This window comes from Homo sapiens, chromosome 6, assembly GCF_000001405.40.
Source record: "Homo sapiens chromosome 6, GRCh38.p14 Primary Assembly".
Classification (NCBI taxonomy): Eukaryota; Metazoa; Chordata; class Mammalia; order Primates; family Hominidae; genus Homo; species Homo sapiens.
Window position 1 is genome coordinate 32,560,003 of NC_000006.12, and position 18,162 is coordinate 32,578,164.

The 18,162-nt window shown below is 38.9% G+C and overlaps 1 pseudogene; it reads right to left on the reverse strand.

Moving 5' to 3' along the window:
- RNU1-152P (RNA, U1 small nuclear 152, pseudogene) lies at positions 16,275 to 16,421 on the reverse strand (annotated as a pseudogene).

Consider the following 18,162-nt stretch of genomic DNA (forward strand, 5'->3'; position numbering starts at 1 on the left):
ATGATAAACAGTTCGCTGTTTGATCATATAGCCTCTGTGGAATGCTGAATTGGTGACAATTCTCCAGCCTCTGGCTCTCTATATTTCCCTCTTTCTGTTTATGTATTAATTGAAAGAATGTAAGGCCAGGTTGGGCAGCTCTCATTTTCCCATTGGCGGTCCATCCAGTTTTACAGACTATGAACAGAAGACAGAGACAAAACAACATCATTTCCAGAACTACAAATGAGATGTTAACGTAGTGTTTTAGATAGGTCCAAGGATTGAGGCTCTCCAGGCCTTGCTGGAATTCAGTCCAGTCTTCTAAAGAAGGCTGAAATTCTTGAGTTTGCTTATTTAAGTCAAAAATTTTGTTTTGTAATTCACCAATATCAAAGGTGATGTTGGATGTGAAAGCTCCCTGCAAATGGACTTTCACAAGGTCCCATGGATACTCACTTTGGTTATATTCTAACCATTTGGTTACACAAATATGAGGGTGATTAAGATGACAAAGCAATTGCTGCTGCAACTGTAAACTTTGTACTTGTTCCTCTAACCATACAACAGTGGATTTCAACATTGCTACTTCAGTTTGTAACTCAGTGTTAATTTTATTCTGAAGTAGCCACGCTTGGTCAGCCATAGGCATCCAGTTCTCCATGTAATGAGCTGTTTGAATAGAACTATGAAAAGCTGCAGAGGACATCACAACAGAAGTTATTAGTGTGACCAAGGAAACTATAGCAAAAATTATCATGCGTAAGGCTCTATGGCCATGATGAGTAAGCTGAGTTAGAAAAAGTTTCACATAATGCAAAGCAGGTGTGGCAGCCCAAGGCTTGGAAAGATTAACAGGAATCCATAGTCCAGGGATGCAACCCAAAATTATCAAAGTAGAGATATTATGTGTTTGCAATGTGCTATGATTAATGCAGTGATATAACTGGCAAGATTTACAGGCAAAAACACAAGCTGTAAATTGAGTGGTGATATTCCTTACAAATGTAACATTAAAACTGTGTCACTTACTATTGCTATTATTGGATGATATCCCAACCCAGATGCTGCCATTCATAAATGGGAGTGCTGCCTTCCATAACATCTCTTGGATTGGTCCTTTCCTCCCTAGATAATACCACTGAGGAAGAGGCAGGCTAAAGCCTGCTCCATGCCAAGCAATCTGGGCAGCAGAATAGGATTGGATCCCGGTGTGGTATAAAGAAGAAGCATTATAAGCTTGCCACCAATGCCAGTGAAATTTGTGCCATGATTTCTGATTATTATCTTTTCCATCTAGTTGATCTTTAGGTCTCCAATCCACAATATCTCCAGTTAATATTGATTATTTTTTAGCCAGTGAGCCAAGACACGGGGTCCACAGAGGGGGATAGGAACTATTGAAGGGAATTCATTCCGTATAGTCAGCACGATTAGGGCAATTGGCCTGGGAATGGTCGGTTAGCACACCAGTTACATTAATAGAACTAAGACTTAAGAAGTACATGAGTTTTCTGTAGTGACTCAACCATGTTTGAGCTTGAATTGTAAGACAGCTATGGCTGAGTGACGTCTTTGAGGTGATACACAAAGGGAGTCCTTCCAGCGGAGCGGTATAATTGATGACATTGTTCTGAGAGTCTAACTGTTCTATGTCACCGGGAGTTAGGGGTCCTGGAGCCCACGCTCCCTGATTATGATCAATCTCAGGAGGAGTGTCACTCCAGAGTATAGGCCATACTGCTGGGGGGATTGGGAATATATGCCCAATATATTTTTGCCTCTGCACAGGGAAAACATACCGCACAAGACATTATGGGTATCTTAGCCAAGAACATGGAATCAGGGGTTTTTGCCTGTCCCTGATGCTCCAGTAGTTTCTCAGCTTCCTGCATGGTTTTCCTGAGTTGTCCGCAGTTTATGAGGTTTGATATTGCCATGACTCTGATTGTCCTTCTCTCCATCTTTTCACTCAGGCTCAGCTGGCTCATGGCCCGTACTGGAGGGACCGGGCCCATGGTTGGCCACCCTGGGTTCCTCCAGTCTCCTGTTCCATGGTTGCACGCACCTTGAGGGCACCCACATGGTTTGTCCATCTCCTGTGAAAACACAAGCATACCCTCATCCCCACATCAGTAAATCCACCGGATCTTTCCATTTTCCTTTTTCTGGGGATTTCCATAACACTTTCGGAAAACCTCTCCTCTTTTTCTCTAACAGTGACCAATGTCTTTCCGCTGGAGTCTTAACATTCGTACCAGGAGTCAAAAAATTTAAAGCAAATAAGTCTAAATACAACTTTGATTGCAGTGGTAACTTGTCCCCTACTCCTCCTTTTTGTCTTTTCAACATGTGTTGTAATGTTTGATGTGCCTGCTCTATAATATCTTGTCCTCTAGGATTATAAGGAATTCCTGTTTTATGGGTTATGGCCCAAAGTTGCAGGAAATTTTGAAAAGCATGACTAGCATAAGCAGGTCCATTGTCAGTTTTTAATTGTTTAGGTATCCCCATATGAGCAAATGACAACAGAAATGTTGCCGCACATGACCAGCTGTCTCACCTGTTTGGCATGTAGCATGCAGCATATGAGAATAAGTGTCTATAGGCACATGAACATAGCTAAACTTACCAAAGGCTGCTATGTGCGTAATATCCATTTGCCAAATTTCATTTGGAGGCAAGCCTCGTGGATTACACCCTTCTATAGGTGTGGCTCCAGGGACATGCTGGCAAGTAGGACAGGCTTGTATTATAGACCTAGCTTGGCTGTGAGGCAAGTTAAATGTACAAGTAAGGGCAGAGGTGTTTTGATGCAGTAATGCATGAGAGGTTTGAGCTTGCTGAAATACAGAATCAATCAATTTATCTGCTCTATCATTACCTAGAGATAGGGCTCCAGGAAGTTGTGTGTGAGAGCAAATATGAGAAATATGAAAAGGAGCTGCATGAGAGTGAATAGTTTGTTGAAGTCTTAGGAACAAATTAACTAGTTTTGGTTCTAGGGTGCTTTTAATTGGAGCAGTTTCTACGTGACTGGCTACATTTACAACATAAGCTCAATCACAGACAATGTTGATAGGATCTGAAGCTGTGAGCTGTAAAACCTGAATGACTGCAATAAACTCTGAGCCTTGAGTGGAAATCCCAGAGGTCATTATTGTTTGAGTGTGCTTGGGTCCATAGATAGCTGCATGACCTTTGGAAGAGCCATCAGTAAAATGGTTTGTCCACCTGGAATAGGCTTGTGATGAGTAATCACAGGAAGAATGAAAGAATAGACTCTATAAAACTGCAAGATTTTGTCTGACGGATAGAGAAAACAAAGGCTTTTGTGGCTGTAGCTGGGAGGTATGCCGTTGCTGAAGCATCTGTTCTACAAGCTGTAACTCGGCTTCTGCCTCTTTGGTCAATTGCTGTGGGAAATCTAATGAAGAATCTCCTTGTAGGGTTTCATAAAGATGTGTAAGTTGATAAGTGGCAATACCTAGCATCGGGTGCAGCCAATTAATATCCCCTAACAACTGTTGAAAATCTTTTAAAGTCTGTAACCTGTCTTTATGGAGAACTACTTTTCGAGACCGTACACTTCTTTCAGTAACAATATTATCTAAGTAATGATATGGTGAAGTTGTTTGTACCTTTTCTGGAGCTATTTTGAGACTCCATTTAGTTAAAGCCTGTTTTGTTTCTCAGAATAACTGATGTAAGATTTGATCTGTAGGAGCGGCCAAAAGAATGTCATCCATAAAATGAATGATGTAAGCAGTAGGAAACATATTTCGAGGCTCCTTTCACGCCTGTCCTACAAAATGCTGACATAGCGTAGGACTGTTAAGCATGCCTTCGGGTAAAACTCTCCATTGATAGCAAGAAACAGGTTCTCTTTGATTAATAGAAGGCACAGAGAAGGCAAATTAAGGCTTATCCTTCTCATGTAATGGTATCGTGAAGAATCAATCCTTAAGATTTATTGCTACAAGAGATCAGTCTCTAGGAATGACCACTGGAATTGGCACACCTTGCTGTAATGGACCCATTGGTTTAAATTGTGCATTAATAGCTCTCAAATCATGCAGCAGTCACCATCTTCTGGACTTTTTTGGAATAAAAAACATTGGTGAATTCCAGGGGCTAACTGACTCCTCTATATGTCCTGTGTCCGATTGTTCTTATACTAGCTGCTGAAGTTGCATCAGCTTCTCCTGAGGTGGGGGCCATTGATCCACCCATATGGGTTTGTCACTGGCCATTCTAATGGTAAGGCAGAGGGTGGAGGAGAAATATCAATGACCTGCATCAGAAATCCTGACGTCCTATCCCTTTTCTATCTGTTTTTCCAGTTATTGATATCGGGTTAGGTTTTCCTTGTAGGAATTTCCCTAAACCTGTCCCACTCTGATATCCCATGTCCGTCAACATTTTAAATCCTGGGTTATCAAAGTTTTCATTTGTAAGTCTCATATTCTATGCTGTAAGTCTCAATCCCATATATTGATTGCTGTATTTGCAACATAAGGCTGAAAAGTACATGACTGTCCATCCGGACCAAGACAAGGTAAAATGTCAGCACTCTGTTGAACACTTGTAGCTGCTCTTATTCCCACTAGGGATGTGGAGGTTAGTCTGAGAGACCATACTGGGGGCCAGTCCTTACTGGATATTACTGACACTTCAGCTCCTGTATCCATAAGCCCATAACATTTCTTTCTTTTAATTTGTACTACACAGGTGGGTCTATTAGAGGCTGTGGGCTGGGATAGATAGATTTCCATTGTAGTTGTGCTCCCAAACCCTGTATTTCCTCGTTTCTCCTTTCATGGACAAGGATGTAATTTGCAGGGAATAAGCAACAATTGAGCAATATATTCTCCCAGTTCAAAAACGCAAAGATTTTTGACATTAAAACTACTTGAATTTCTCCTTCATAATGGGAGTCAACTACTCCAGGGACTACAGTGATGCCTTGCAAGTTAAGGGGGTTTTTGCCTAAAATTAGTCCTATGTATCCTGTTGGTAAAGGTCCCCAAATGCCAGTGGGAACTTTGGTAGGTTTGTCTCCTCCAAATAACGTTCTTTCTCTGGTGGGGAGATCTAATCCTGCACTTCCTGGTGAGGTGAGGAATACCAGGAATCAATTTTTCTCCTGGGACCCATCCCTGAAGTGGGACTGTGGTCTGAACTGGAAATGCCCTCATTGTTTGAGGGGCCCGGGTCCAGGCCCCCTTCTAGTTTCCCGACAAGTGGGTGCTGTTTTGATGAAATTTTGAGTGGCACTGATTAGCCCAGTGACTTCCTTGGTTACAGCGAGGACAAAGTGCTGGTGTTTTTTCTGTTGGGTGGAGCACTGCATTGTACGGTCCTTTCTGTCCGGAGATCTGGCAGCATTCCTTTTTAAAATGTCCAGTTTTTCCACAATTATAACATTTTCCCATTTTAGGGTTTGACCCTTGGCTCCTTTTAGATTTGTCAACTGCTAAATTAGCCACTGCCTGCACTAATATTGTAGAGCAATGAAGCTCAGTTCCCACATCTTGACAAGCTCTGAGAAAATTTCCCAAGTTTTTTGTACACCTCACAGGTGCCAATGCACATTTACAATCTGCATTTACATTCTCAAAAGCTAGAGTTAAAGTTAGCATCTCTGCAGCAGCAGTATGATAAATCTGATGCTTCATTGCCTCTTGTAGTCATGCAAGAAATTGTGCATAAGGTTCCTGTGACCCTTGCATGATATGTAAAAAGGATTGTAATGGGACTCCCTTTTCCGGAATTGTGAAATTGTGGCCCAGTCACATTTAGCAGCCTGTGCACACTGCTGGCATTTGAGAGTGCCATTTGATGTTCCAGGTCTGAATAAGGGCCATTACCTAACAGCATGTCCTCTGTAATGTCTCTGTGTCCAGCCACATGATTCTGTCTAGCCTGGTCTGCACACATTTCTTGCCAATTTAAATTCCATGTCAGGTATGCACTAGGAGACAAACAAGTGTGAGACAAATTCTTTACATCGAAGGGTAGAAGGTACACAGCACCAAATACAGATACTAGCAACCCTAAAGTGAATGGGCTCTGTACGCCATTATTTACCACACTCCTTTTAATTCCTTCAACAACTTAAACTCTACTGGAGTGTGTTCATGAATAAGCTGCTATGGATTATTTGGATCAGGCCTTACAGAAATAGGAAAAGTGCAAGGTCCTAAGGGCTCTCCAGCTATGGCAGCAGGGTGTAAAATTCTCTGTATTGGAGTCTCTATTTTTGCTACTGAAGGAGGCGGTACAGATGTTTCTGCTATTGGAGGAGGCGGTATAGGCCAATTTTTATTCTCCTTCTCTTGTTTTTTTATTTTCAATTGGAGCTGTGGGTGGGACAACAGATTCTTTCAGAACATCACTCCTGCTGTCCAGCAAGCTAAGAAGGAGATAATGGCAGAAGGACAGTATGGACTAAACTCCAAGTGGAGAAAACGGAAGGACCAACTTTGAGACCTTTTTGATGAGCCTGTTTTAATCTTTCTGCTCTGTCCCAATTTTCCATATCAAGAGTGCCTGTCTGTGGGAACCATGGGTTATGCATAATAACCTCCTGCAGCATCTTAGTTAATGTCTGAGATCTAACCTGAGCACCAGATTATTTCAACAAAACTTTAAGCAACTGCACATAATGTTTTTCTTCAATAGACAAATTCTGCCTCACGTTACCCTGATTCAGAAAACTTCCCGTTCCCAGTACTTCTTTAGAGCACTGACCTTATATTGCTCCCAGTACCTCTTTAGGGCACTGACCTTATATCAGCTGCCAGCAGACTCATCCTGGGGTCCCCATTCATCTTGTCAATTTCAATTCCTCTGCTCCAGCAGACCTTCTTTGTTCACATTCTCATGTCCCTGTGTTTAGAAACCACTATGGCGTCGCCCTGTCGCTGTTTGAACATCACTATGCCATGGACACTGTTGGACTGAACAAAGGAGGACGAATGTGGGAATAAAGACAAAAGAGTATATTTGGAAGAAGGGGTCAGGGGCACCTTGCTCTTTGTGAACAAGGGCCCTGAGCTTTGAGCTTCCTTCGTATTTACTGAAAAGAGATAGCAAGAAGGGAGTGGTTGTCGGTCTGCTGCTTGCTCCAGAGCAGCCTTGCAAGACTGCATTCCTCGAACAATAGGCTCTAGATGTCCCAGCAGATAACCTTAAGGAACCCGGCACCATGGAGTTATTGCCCTCAGCAAACCGTCTGGTGGCCAGCACAGAGGAGAGTTTGCCCCTATTCTGTACTCATGATAAACAGTTTGCTGTTTGATCATATTGCCGCAGTGGAAATGCTGAGTTGGTCATGATTCTCCGGACTCTGGCTCTCTACACTAAATGGATTCAACAAGAAAGTGGTTGAATTTATGCAACTGTCTAGTTATTTATAATGAAACAAACAAAAATTAACCATAAAGAAGTGAATTGGGTGGTGATTGTATAAAAGATGTGAGTCTAGGCCAGGCATAGTGGCTCACGCCTGTAATCCCAGCACTTTGGGAGGCCAAGGCAGGTGGATCACAAGGTCAGAAGATCGAGACCATCCTGGCTAACACGGTGAAACCTCATCTCTACTAAAAAAATACAAAAAATTAGCCAGGCGCGGTGTCAGGCACCTGTAGTCCCAGCTACTTGGGAGGCTGAGGCAGGAGAATGGCATGAACTCGGGAGGCGGAGCTTGCAGTGAGCCGAGATCGTGCCACTGCACTCCAGCCTGGGTGACAGAGCGAGACTCCGTCTCAAAAAAACAAAACAAAACAAAACAAAAAGAGGTAAGTCTACACTTTTCAGAAAGAGCACAGTGTGAACCAGTGCTCTCAGCCTCAGCACTACTGACATTTTGGACCAGGTAATTCTTTGTTGGTGATGGAGGCTGTTGTGTACATTGCAGGTTCTCTAGAAGTGTCCCTGGCTTCTACTCATTAAATATCAGAAGAAATCCCTGTTGTGACAACCAAAAATTCCTCCAAACATTGCCACATGTTCCCCAAGGGTGATGGGAGGGAAGGGAGGGGTGGTGAACTATCCCTGGGTAAGAACCATGGGTGTGAACCATCTGAAAAAATCTGTGTTGAACAAGCCACTATTAGTTATGGAGCAGCTGAGAATTACTTTGAAAAATATCTGTTGAAAATCTTGGTCCTACATAAAATGAAAATGTTGTAGAATTCTGGTCCCAGTACAGTGCTATGTTTCCAGAAAATGAACTTGTGGAGAACCAAGATTTACTGATTTCCTTGCCTTTATAATCAGTCATCAAATCATATCATTTATCTGTTATAGCATCTTCTTTCTTACTTTCTGTGCCACTGGTCCACCAATTATCTGTAGTAATGAATCACAACCACAGCCATTTTATTCCCATTTAATGCCCCAACTAACTCATTTCTCTCAGTCTCCCACTCCCAACAATACTAACAGGCATCAAATTTCCAGCCTTGGCCAGAGGCAGAACTGTTGGTTTTGTAATCAAGTCCCCTCAGAAAGGGAGAAACCAAAAAAATGACACTCTCATTCAGACAGTTTACAAAAAATGAGCAGGTCCCCAGACTTTGAGTACGACCTTCGTAAAGCTTCCTTTCCCCTTTAGAAATGATGCCGTGGATCAAAAATGTCTGTCTTTTTATTCTTAAATTATCTAAGCACTTTCTTTACAGAGAGGAAGTTAAAAAATAAACATGTGTGAAGTCGCTGTCACTGTGGTTTGCGTGACTAACACTGTAATCCATGCTCATGTGTCCCAGTTAGGGTTGAAAGGTTTGGCAAACAAACCAGAGGATGCCCACTTAAATTTGGATTTCCAGTAAATTACGGTGTGTATCTGAAATTCAGATTTAACTAAGAACCTGTATTTTATTTGGCAACCCCAGGCCAACTTGCTAGTCAAACCTCAGAACAAGGAGTGATTTAATACTTCCTTGTGTTCTTCAACACATGCCCAGGATAGACATATAGAACTTTTAAAATGATAAATGCAAAATGAATGAAAGTATAGTTCCACTATACATTGGAACTAGCAGCCCTTGCATCTCTGCTCCCACTTCAAGAAACAACCTGGTACATATGAATATCAGGAATTCTGTCAATAATTCAGACACAATCTGGTCACTAATCACTAATGATGGACAGACTCTCAATCTCCAGAATCAGAAAATCTGAATGGAAACATGATCTTTTCTGCTTGGGTCAATTTTTACTAACCATAAGCCTTTTTGTAATCTATCAAATGCATTTAATAACAGCATCATCTTCACAGGATTATTTTTAAGTGTAAAATTAAATAATGACTTCTTAGCACTGACCACATAATAAACACTCAAAAATATTTTCATTTTAATTTTTTATGATCCATTTAACTGCAGCTCACATTATTTTTCCTATTCCTTGATTCTAAAGCAATTAGTGTCTTCATCATGATTTTGCTATTGTCTTCTGTTTTATTAGTTTCATAAAGAATTGTCATTCTGAAAACATAGGGCAGAAACACTAGCTTATGTCTAACAATGCAGTATACCTAAACAAACCTCAGACAAAAGGCACCTGCTGACATAGGAGAAAGGGACTTTCTACATGCTCAGATTTAAACTACAATCTGATTTCTAGCACTACATTTGGGATACTGGGTTTTACTTATATCCTCTCAATTTTAGATTCCAGAGATGTATATATTTTTAAACACCACAGATACAATAGGATCATTATTGAAATTGCATACTGAAAATGATAGGCCTGGTACACAGTCACTGCAAAATGTTATATGGCATGTACTGATGGAGACCAGATTCATTTTATTCATCACTCCATTCTCATGACTTAGAGTAGTAGCTGGCATATTCTAAGTCACTAATAAACATGGGCTGTGTGAAATATTGGCTGTGTGACCTCTTCATGAGCAGTCACCACTGCACACAGGGGCCCTCTAATATTTCCTTGATAATAATGACCGAGCATCTCTGGTTCACAGGTCCTCCTGCTTCTCTTCAGCCTCTTTAGCCTTTTCCTTTAGATTCAGCTGGCTTCCTGAACCTAGAGCACAGTCCTTCCCTGAAGCTCTCTACTCAAAACAGTCAACCTTAACCTCATCCTCACTTCTTCTGCTGGCTCTTCAAATAGTCCAATCCAGTTTCCATCCTGGATACTCCATTGACTGCAAATACCAACCCCAGCAAACCCAGCACTTGCTTCTCTCTCACATTCTCACTTCACCCACTTAGTGATACTCATTGGCTTCTCCCTTCTTCTTGAAAAAAAATCTATTTTCCTTGACTTACAAGCATTGTGTTCTCTTGGTTTTTCTCCAACATCCCTGGGGCTCCCTCTCAGTCCCCTTTGCTGGCCTGGGCATTCTTCTTTTTTCTACACACAAGCTATTACCATATGTATCCTCTTCCACTCCCTGGAATTTAACAGAGTACATGTATTGATGCTGTCAACATAAACACCTCCAGCCCTGAACTCACCGTGAGTCTCTTAAATTCCCTTGGCCTTCTGATTGTTCCACATAAATGTCAATAAATCATTTCCAACCACTCACTTCAAATAATTTCCTCCCACAATTTTCCCTATCTCAATAAACACCACCACCATCCACTTATTTGTCAAGACAAAATCCTTAGGAATAAGCTTGATTATTCTATCCCCTTTACAGTAATCCATTAACAAGCTGAGCAAAATACATGCCGAGTCTGTCCACTTCATCTTTTTCACTGTCTTTATCACTAATACACACCAGGAAGCCACGAACTGTTTTCCCTGAGGATTCCCTGCGGTGCTCCTAATAGGCTTCCTGACCACTTGTGAATCCCAGCAGTCCAATCCCCCACAGAGTAGCTTGAATTAGTTTAAAAAATTGAATATAAATTGACTCTCCCTGTAACCATGCAGTAGCTTCCCATATCTGTTTAAATAAAATTAAAATTTCTTACTATGTGCATCAGGGCCTAATATGATGAGGCTCCTGACTTCCTCTCTGCATCCTACCTCATCTTCTGCCTCTCCATTTCCTTGCTTCCTATACATCAGTCCTTCTAGCCTTCTTTCTGTCCCTGCACATAATTTCCCCCACCAGGGTTTTCCCCCCATTGTGTCTCTCTGGAACATTCGACCCTTAGATCTTCACATGGCTGTTTACTTATTTTGTTGTCTCAGCTGAATGTCACTTTCTCAGGTACAGCTGCCTAAGCATATGAACCAAAGTTGGGTGGATCCAATTCTCTCTTTCCATAAACCTGATGTCTTTTCTTCAGTGCTGGTGCTGACATTTTACGAATTTGACTAAAGTGTAGAAACTTTACCTCCTTTATATCCCTTTCCACTTCTGCATGTGTAATATATATTTTTTATTTTCTCTACTTGCATCAAAACCACATCTGTCAATGTTGTAATTTTTGCCTCAACCATCAAATTAATTTACAAAACTGAAGAAGTCTGTTGTATCTAACCATATTTTTACTCATTTATTGTTTACTTTTTTCCCGATTGTCCAAGATTTCTTCCATTATCATTTCTATTCCAGTTCAAGCACTTCCTTTAGCCCTTGTTTTAACATAAATCTGCTAGCATGAAAGTCTCTTGATTTTCCTTCCTCTAAGTATGTCATGGCTAGGCGCGGTGGCTCACGCCTGTAAGCCCAGCAATTTGGAAGGCCAAGGCAGGCGGATCCCATGAGCTCAGGAATTCGAGACCAGCCTGGGCAACATGGCAAAACCCTGTCTCTGCCAAAAATACAAAAAATTAGCCAGGCGTTGGGGTGTGTGTCTGTAATTCCAGCTACTCAGGAGGCTGAGGTGTGATGATCACATAAGCCTGGGAGGCAGAGGCTGCAGTGAGCCGTGGTTGCGCCACTGCCCTCCAGCCTGGGTGACAGAGCAAGACTCCATCTGAAAAACAAAACAAAAAGAAAAAAGAAAAAAAAGAATGTCATGATAGAAGATTTTATAATAATGTTTTTACTGGATATACATTCTAGGTTAACGTTCCTTTCAGCCATTAAAACATCTTGTGCCACTTCTGTCTGGTCTGCATGATTTCTAATGAGCAATCCACTGTCATTTAATTTATTTTCTCCTGTGCATGAGATGTCATTTCTCTCTTGTTGCTTTCGAGATTTTTTTTGGCATAAATTTCTTTGGATTTCTTTTCTTTTGGGTTTGCACAGATTCTTGAATTTTTACATTTAAGTCTTTGTCCAGATTTGGAAAATAGTCAATCTTCCTTCAAACACTCTTTGGGCATCACCCATTTGTCATCTCCTTCTAAGACTCCAGTGACACAAATTTCATACCTTTTATTATAGTCTTACAGATTTATCAGCATGAAATAATACTAAATATTATGAATAACTTTACAAAAATAAATGTGCATGTAATACATTATTCAAAATGTACAATGTACTGTGCATGTAATGAATAAATTATTCAAAATGTACAATGTACTGTGCATGTAATGAATAAATTATTCAAAATGTACAATGTACTGAAGCTGACAAATAACATAAGACAGAAAGAGTTCCACATCTCATAGAGAAAGTAAGTCCATTCTATGAAGCTTTCCCAAGACAAAACCCCAGGTTCATCTAGCTTCTGTAACTATTTTTAAATATTTAAGAAGCAAACAACACTAACTTTATACAAACTTCAAACATATTTGAAAAAAGGAAAAGCACTTGCAATTATGTTTGATGAGACCTGTGTAAACTTTACTTCAAGACCTGAAGGGAACTCTACAACAAATAGGAATTAAGAGACCAATAACTCTTATAAGGTAAGTTCTTAAGAAAACATTAGCCAAGTGAATTCAGTGATATAAAAGATGGCTACTACATCATGACCAAGTGGAGGTTATTCCAGAAATGCAAGGTTGTTTGAGCATTTGAGAATCCATTAGTGTGATTCACGACATTAACTGAAGGAAGGAGAATACACATGCAACCACCTGGATAGAGTCGTGAAATACGATTTGACAGAATTGAGCACTTGGCCTTAATTTTGAAAAAACCTGTTTTCAAACTTGTATTAAAAAGATATTTCTCCAATCTGAGAAATGATAGCTACCCAATTGCACACATTAGTCTCAGCAGTGAAATATTGAAAACTATCTCCTTCATATCAGGAGTACTAGAGGAGTTAGGCAATAATAATGGCAAGAAAAATATATCAAAGAGATAATAATTGCATCCAGGTAAAATGGTCATTATTTACTCTTGACATAATCAGGTACTTAGAAAATAAAAACAATAGACAAGCTCACAGATTTAATAAGTGAATTTAAATAATGTTGCTGATTACAAAGTCAGTATACATTAAACCAATTATGTTACTGATATAGTTTGGATGCTTGTGCCCTCCAGATCTCATGTTAAAATGTAACCTCCATTGTTGGAGGTGAGGCCTGGTGAGAGGTATTTTGGTCGGGGGGCAGATCCTTCATCAATGGCTTGGTGCCATCCTAGCTGTAATGAGTGAGTTCTCACTCAGTTCACATGAGACCTGGTTTTTTAAAGGACTGCAACTGTTCCCCAACTTTCTCTGTGCTCCTGCTCTCACCATGTGATATGCAGGACCCCCTTTCCTTCCCCCATGATTGTTATTTTCCTGAGGCCCTCACCAGAAGCAATTGCCAGCACCACACCTCCTGTAGAGCCTGCAGAACCCTGAGCCAGTGAAACCTCCTTTCTTTATGAATTACCCAGCCTCAGGTATTTCTTTCTGGAAATGTAGGAATGGACTAACATAATTATGCTCTATCATAAACAAATAGAAAACAAAACCAAGAAAATAATTTTATCAATTTCTTCACCTCTTTGCTTTTTCTTCTACTTTTTTCAACTTAAATTTGCTTCTTTTTATTATTAAGTTAAAATTTTACCCCTTTGATTTTTACATATTTATCCTTTTATAATACAGGCATTTAAAACTAAATATTTTTCTCTAAGGACTGCCTTGGTTGCATCTCGAAAATTTTTAAAATTCATTTTAGTATTATTTTATTTAAAATTATTTTCTAATTTCCTTCTGATTTCCTCTTTGACAAGCCATAGATTATTTAGAAATGTATTATTTTACTTCCAAAAATTTAGGCCGTTTTCTCAATCCTACTAATTTGTAATTTCATAAGATTGTGTTCAGAGAATATACTCTGTATGATTTTATTCTTGTGAAAGTAATTGAGACTAGTTTTATAGTCACAGTATTTGTTCTATTTCATGGATTATCTTTGTGCAACGTAAATAAGTAAATATTCTGTAGTTATCAGATGTTGTCAATTTATGTTAATTATAAATGCCAACTAAGTCAAGAAGGTGGAAAGTATTGTTCCTATCTTGATTTCCTTCCTGATCTTTGCACGAAGCTACAGAGATATTTGTTGTCTTCCATCTACCTCCCTAGTTCCCACAGCACCAGCATGAAGTCAGAAAAAGTTCTGGAAGGAGAATCAGCTGACAGGGCAAAGTAGATATATATTATTCAGGGGGCCTCTATAGATTGTAATGCATCACACAAACCCACAGGGCTATTGACAACTCAGCTGGTTTATCCTTACTCCCTCACAATCTCCCTTTCTCAGCCAGGCTCAATCTTCTTCCCATGTTAAGATTCAGTAGATGACCAAAGAATAAGAGTGGACACTTGACCCTGCTCGCCTATGTGGAATTTGTTCATCTCTGGAATTTGGAATTTTTATACTTTTTGATCCACAGCTGGTTAAAATTTTTAAAATAAGATTATTTTCCAGTTTATCCATTTAGTTTAGTCTATATATCTGTTTGCTCTTATAGTAATAGTGACAATTCTCGTAATTTTCCACCTCCTAACTGGCATTATGGTTTATGATTTTTTTCCAATCCATGTTGATAGTCCTACATAATTTACTTAAAGCCCTGAATATTATTCCTTTCTGTGGTTATACCACAGTTTACCTTTTCTCTATCTAAATGTAGATAGTGTTTCTTTTCTCCCCTGTTACATTTTTTATATGTCATCATGGACATATGAGGAAAAATTCACCGAGACTGTAACAACCTAGAGTGGAAATACTGTATTATTCAAACTACTCAAAGGGTTACACCAATATATGCTCACAGTGCCCCACACAGCACCAAATGTCATCCTGCAGTGTGCTGTCACTTCACATGCTCCATAGTTTTTAGGATGTACAAAATTTTTATAATCAAGACAAATTAATCAGTTTTTCTTTTTGAATTTGGAAATGTTTTTGTTATTCCAAACCGTGGCTCAACAAACGACCAATTTTATGTCTCGTTGGGCTCATGTAGGATTGTTCTTTAAGACGGATGTTTACAACGGGATTTTTGTTGTTTTCATCAAGCGCGTAACAATTGTATTTTGAGTTTTAATAGATACTACTACACTGTTATAACTTAAAATCCTAATAATATGGGAGAGTCTATTCCCTTAGAATCTTCTAAATCCTTGAGGTTAAAACAAACTATTGTACTTGCCAATTTTGGAGTAGGAGAAATAGTTTATTACATTGCTGTTCGAATTTGGCTTTTTCTCTTCATTGGTGAGTTTGAGCAAATATATATATATTTATCGACTATTAGGATATTCTCTTCTATAGTGAGTCTATATCCTTTGCCCAATTGTCTATGGCATTTCCATGAATTTATTGATTGATTAGTTAACAATTTTTCATAAGAAAGCCCATTGTCTGCCTTATGTGATCAAAATTTTTCCTGAGCATCATATACTTCTTTTAATTTTGTTATTTTCTTCATGCAAAGAAATCAGTAATTTTCTTCAAATATTTTTTCATTTGTGTCTTCTGGATTTTGTCTTGCTTATGAAGTCTTATTTTTTTAAAAAGGATTATTTTAACAGATTTACTAAAGCATAACTTTCATACTACAAAATTCACTCATTGTACATGTAAAATTGAATAATTTGAGTAAATTAATAGATTTGTGCAATTATCACAACAATTTAGTTTTAGAACATTTCTGTCATGTCCCAAATTTCTCTATTTATAGTTAAGTCCCACTGAGACCCCAAACCCTAGGCACCCAATGATCTGCTTTTTGTGTCTATAAATTTACCTTTTCTAGATATTTCAAGTAAATGAAATCATACAACATGTAATCTTTTGTATCCAATTTCCTTCACTTAGTTAACACTATTGAAGTTCACTAGTTTTGTAGTATGTATCATCATTTTGTTTTCTTTTCATTTCTTTTTGTCTTTTTTCATTTGTGCAAATGCAAAAGGTACAAGTGTAGTTTTGGTACATGCATAGATTGCATAGTGGTGACGTTAGTGTTTCTACAGTATCCATTACCCAAATCACATGCATTGTACCCATTAAGTAATCTCATCATCTAGGGTGCAAGGGTTGAAATTTGCCTTGGGAAAACTACCCTCATGTTTATGGTATCTCCCCTGCCAGATAAGTCTATTTTTGTCCCCTTTTATTGTTGAATGATATTGCCTTGCCTGGATGTAGTTGAATTTTGTTTATCTATTTACTAGTTGAAGGATATCTGGATTGTTTTCAGTTTTGGCCTGCTATGGCTAAGGCTGTTCTGAACCCTTGAACACATATCTATGTGAGGACATATGTTTTTATGTCTCTTAGGTAGATTCCAAGGAGTGAAATTGCTAGGTCATAGGGCAAACATATGTTAAACTTTTTAAGAAATTGCCAAATTACCAGGTATTTGTAGACTCATACACTCCCACCAGCAACACATAAGGAATTAGAAAGTCTATTTGTCTTCAAACATAATTATAATGATGATGATAGTATTAGAAATAGCATCTGTCTTATGAACTTTATATTTTCTCTTTATGTTTCAAGTTTTATTTATCCAGGATCTATTTAGTGAAAGAAATGAATTTGGAATTCAACTTACCAAAAACTGAAACTAAATCTCAGCTCTTTCTGTTTCTATTTCTAGACTCTGTTTTGCTAGCATATATAATTTTAAAAAATCAGTAACAAATGCATTTTTAAAAGTAAATGTATGGTATGTTTTAGCACCTTATAGAGCTAATCATTCCTTATTCTACTTTTTTTCAATATTTTCCCTGGAAAATATATTTACCTCATAAAATAACATGTCAGCATACTTAACTGAGTTGTACAAACAATCAATCCTGTTTGCTTGCTTTTTTTTATTGTAATTGAGTTAATGGCTGACATTTAATAACTCTATGTGTGTGTATGTATACACACCTATATATACATATATGTATATATGTACATATATACGTGTGTGTGTGTGTATATATATATATGTATACATATAAAGACCCAAAACCCTGAATTGAGGGTGCCTATCAGGAATCTATAGGCTTTCATGTGGAAGTTAACTCAAATACTTACAACCTGATAGTACCACAATCTATCATTTCCCTACCCGGAAATCAATCTCTGCTACTCCATCCACCATTTCTTTATTTTTTAAAATACATGATTTTGCTCCTTTTCTTCCCATGTGCCTCAGGCCCACTCTGCAAAGGTTGAATCCTGGCTTGTCTGAGCCCATGTGATCCCACGGTCATTCCAATGTGTGAGAAAGTGGGTACTGGGAACACTCTGGAAACAGTTTAGTTGCTCCTTATAAAGGCACACAGGAGAAAGGAGTATCCTTTTCCTGCCTTTGGGAGTTGTTGTGAAAGAATAACAAACCTAAAGCTGCTGCAGGGGTCACCCTACCATCTCAGGAAAGCTGACATACTGTGTGTGATAGAGAGATGAGCTATGAAGTTCCAGGGTCGCTGGTGATGCCACTGGCCTGCTGAGTTGAGCAACTCTGGAGATGCCCAGCCTTGGATCTATCGGCTATGTGAGATAACGGGTTAAAGAAAAATAAAGCCACTAGATGGGATTTCCTGCTATTAGCAGCAGAACGCATCTTCATTGAAATATTCATTCCACACATTTTGGTTCTACCTTGAAATTCCACACCACAAGTCTCATATAAAATGAGAAAATCATTTCCTCAACTTAGGAAATGAGGCCTATTTGTTGCAACTCTGTGATCAAACAGAACAGACATAATTATCAGCTTAATATATTTCTATAGGATTTATACTCTTACAGGATTTATATGCACTTGTACTGCTACGTATGTACAAGTAACATATAACTAAAAATAAGATATGCATAAAAACAACTTTTAATTTGATTGAA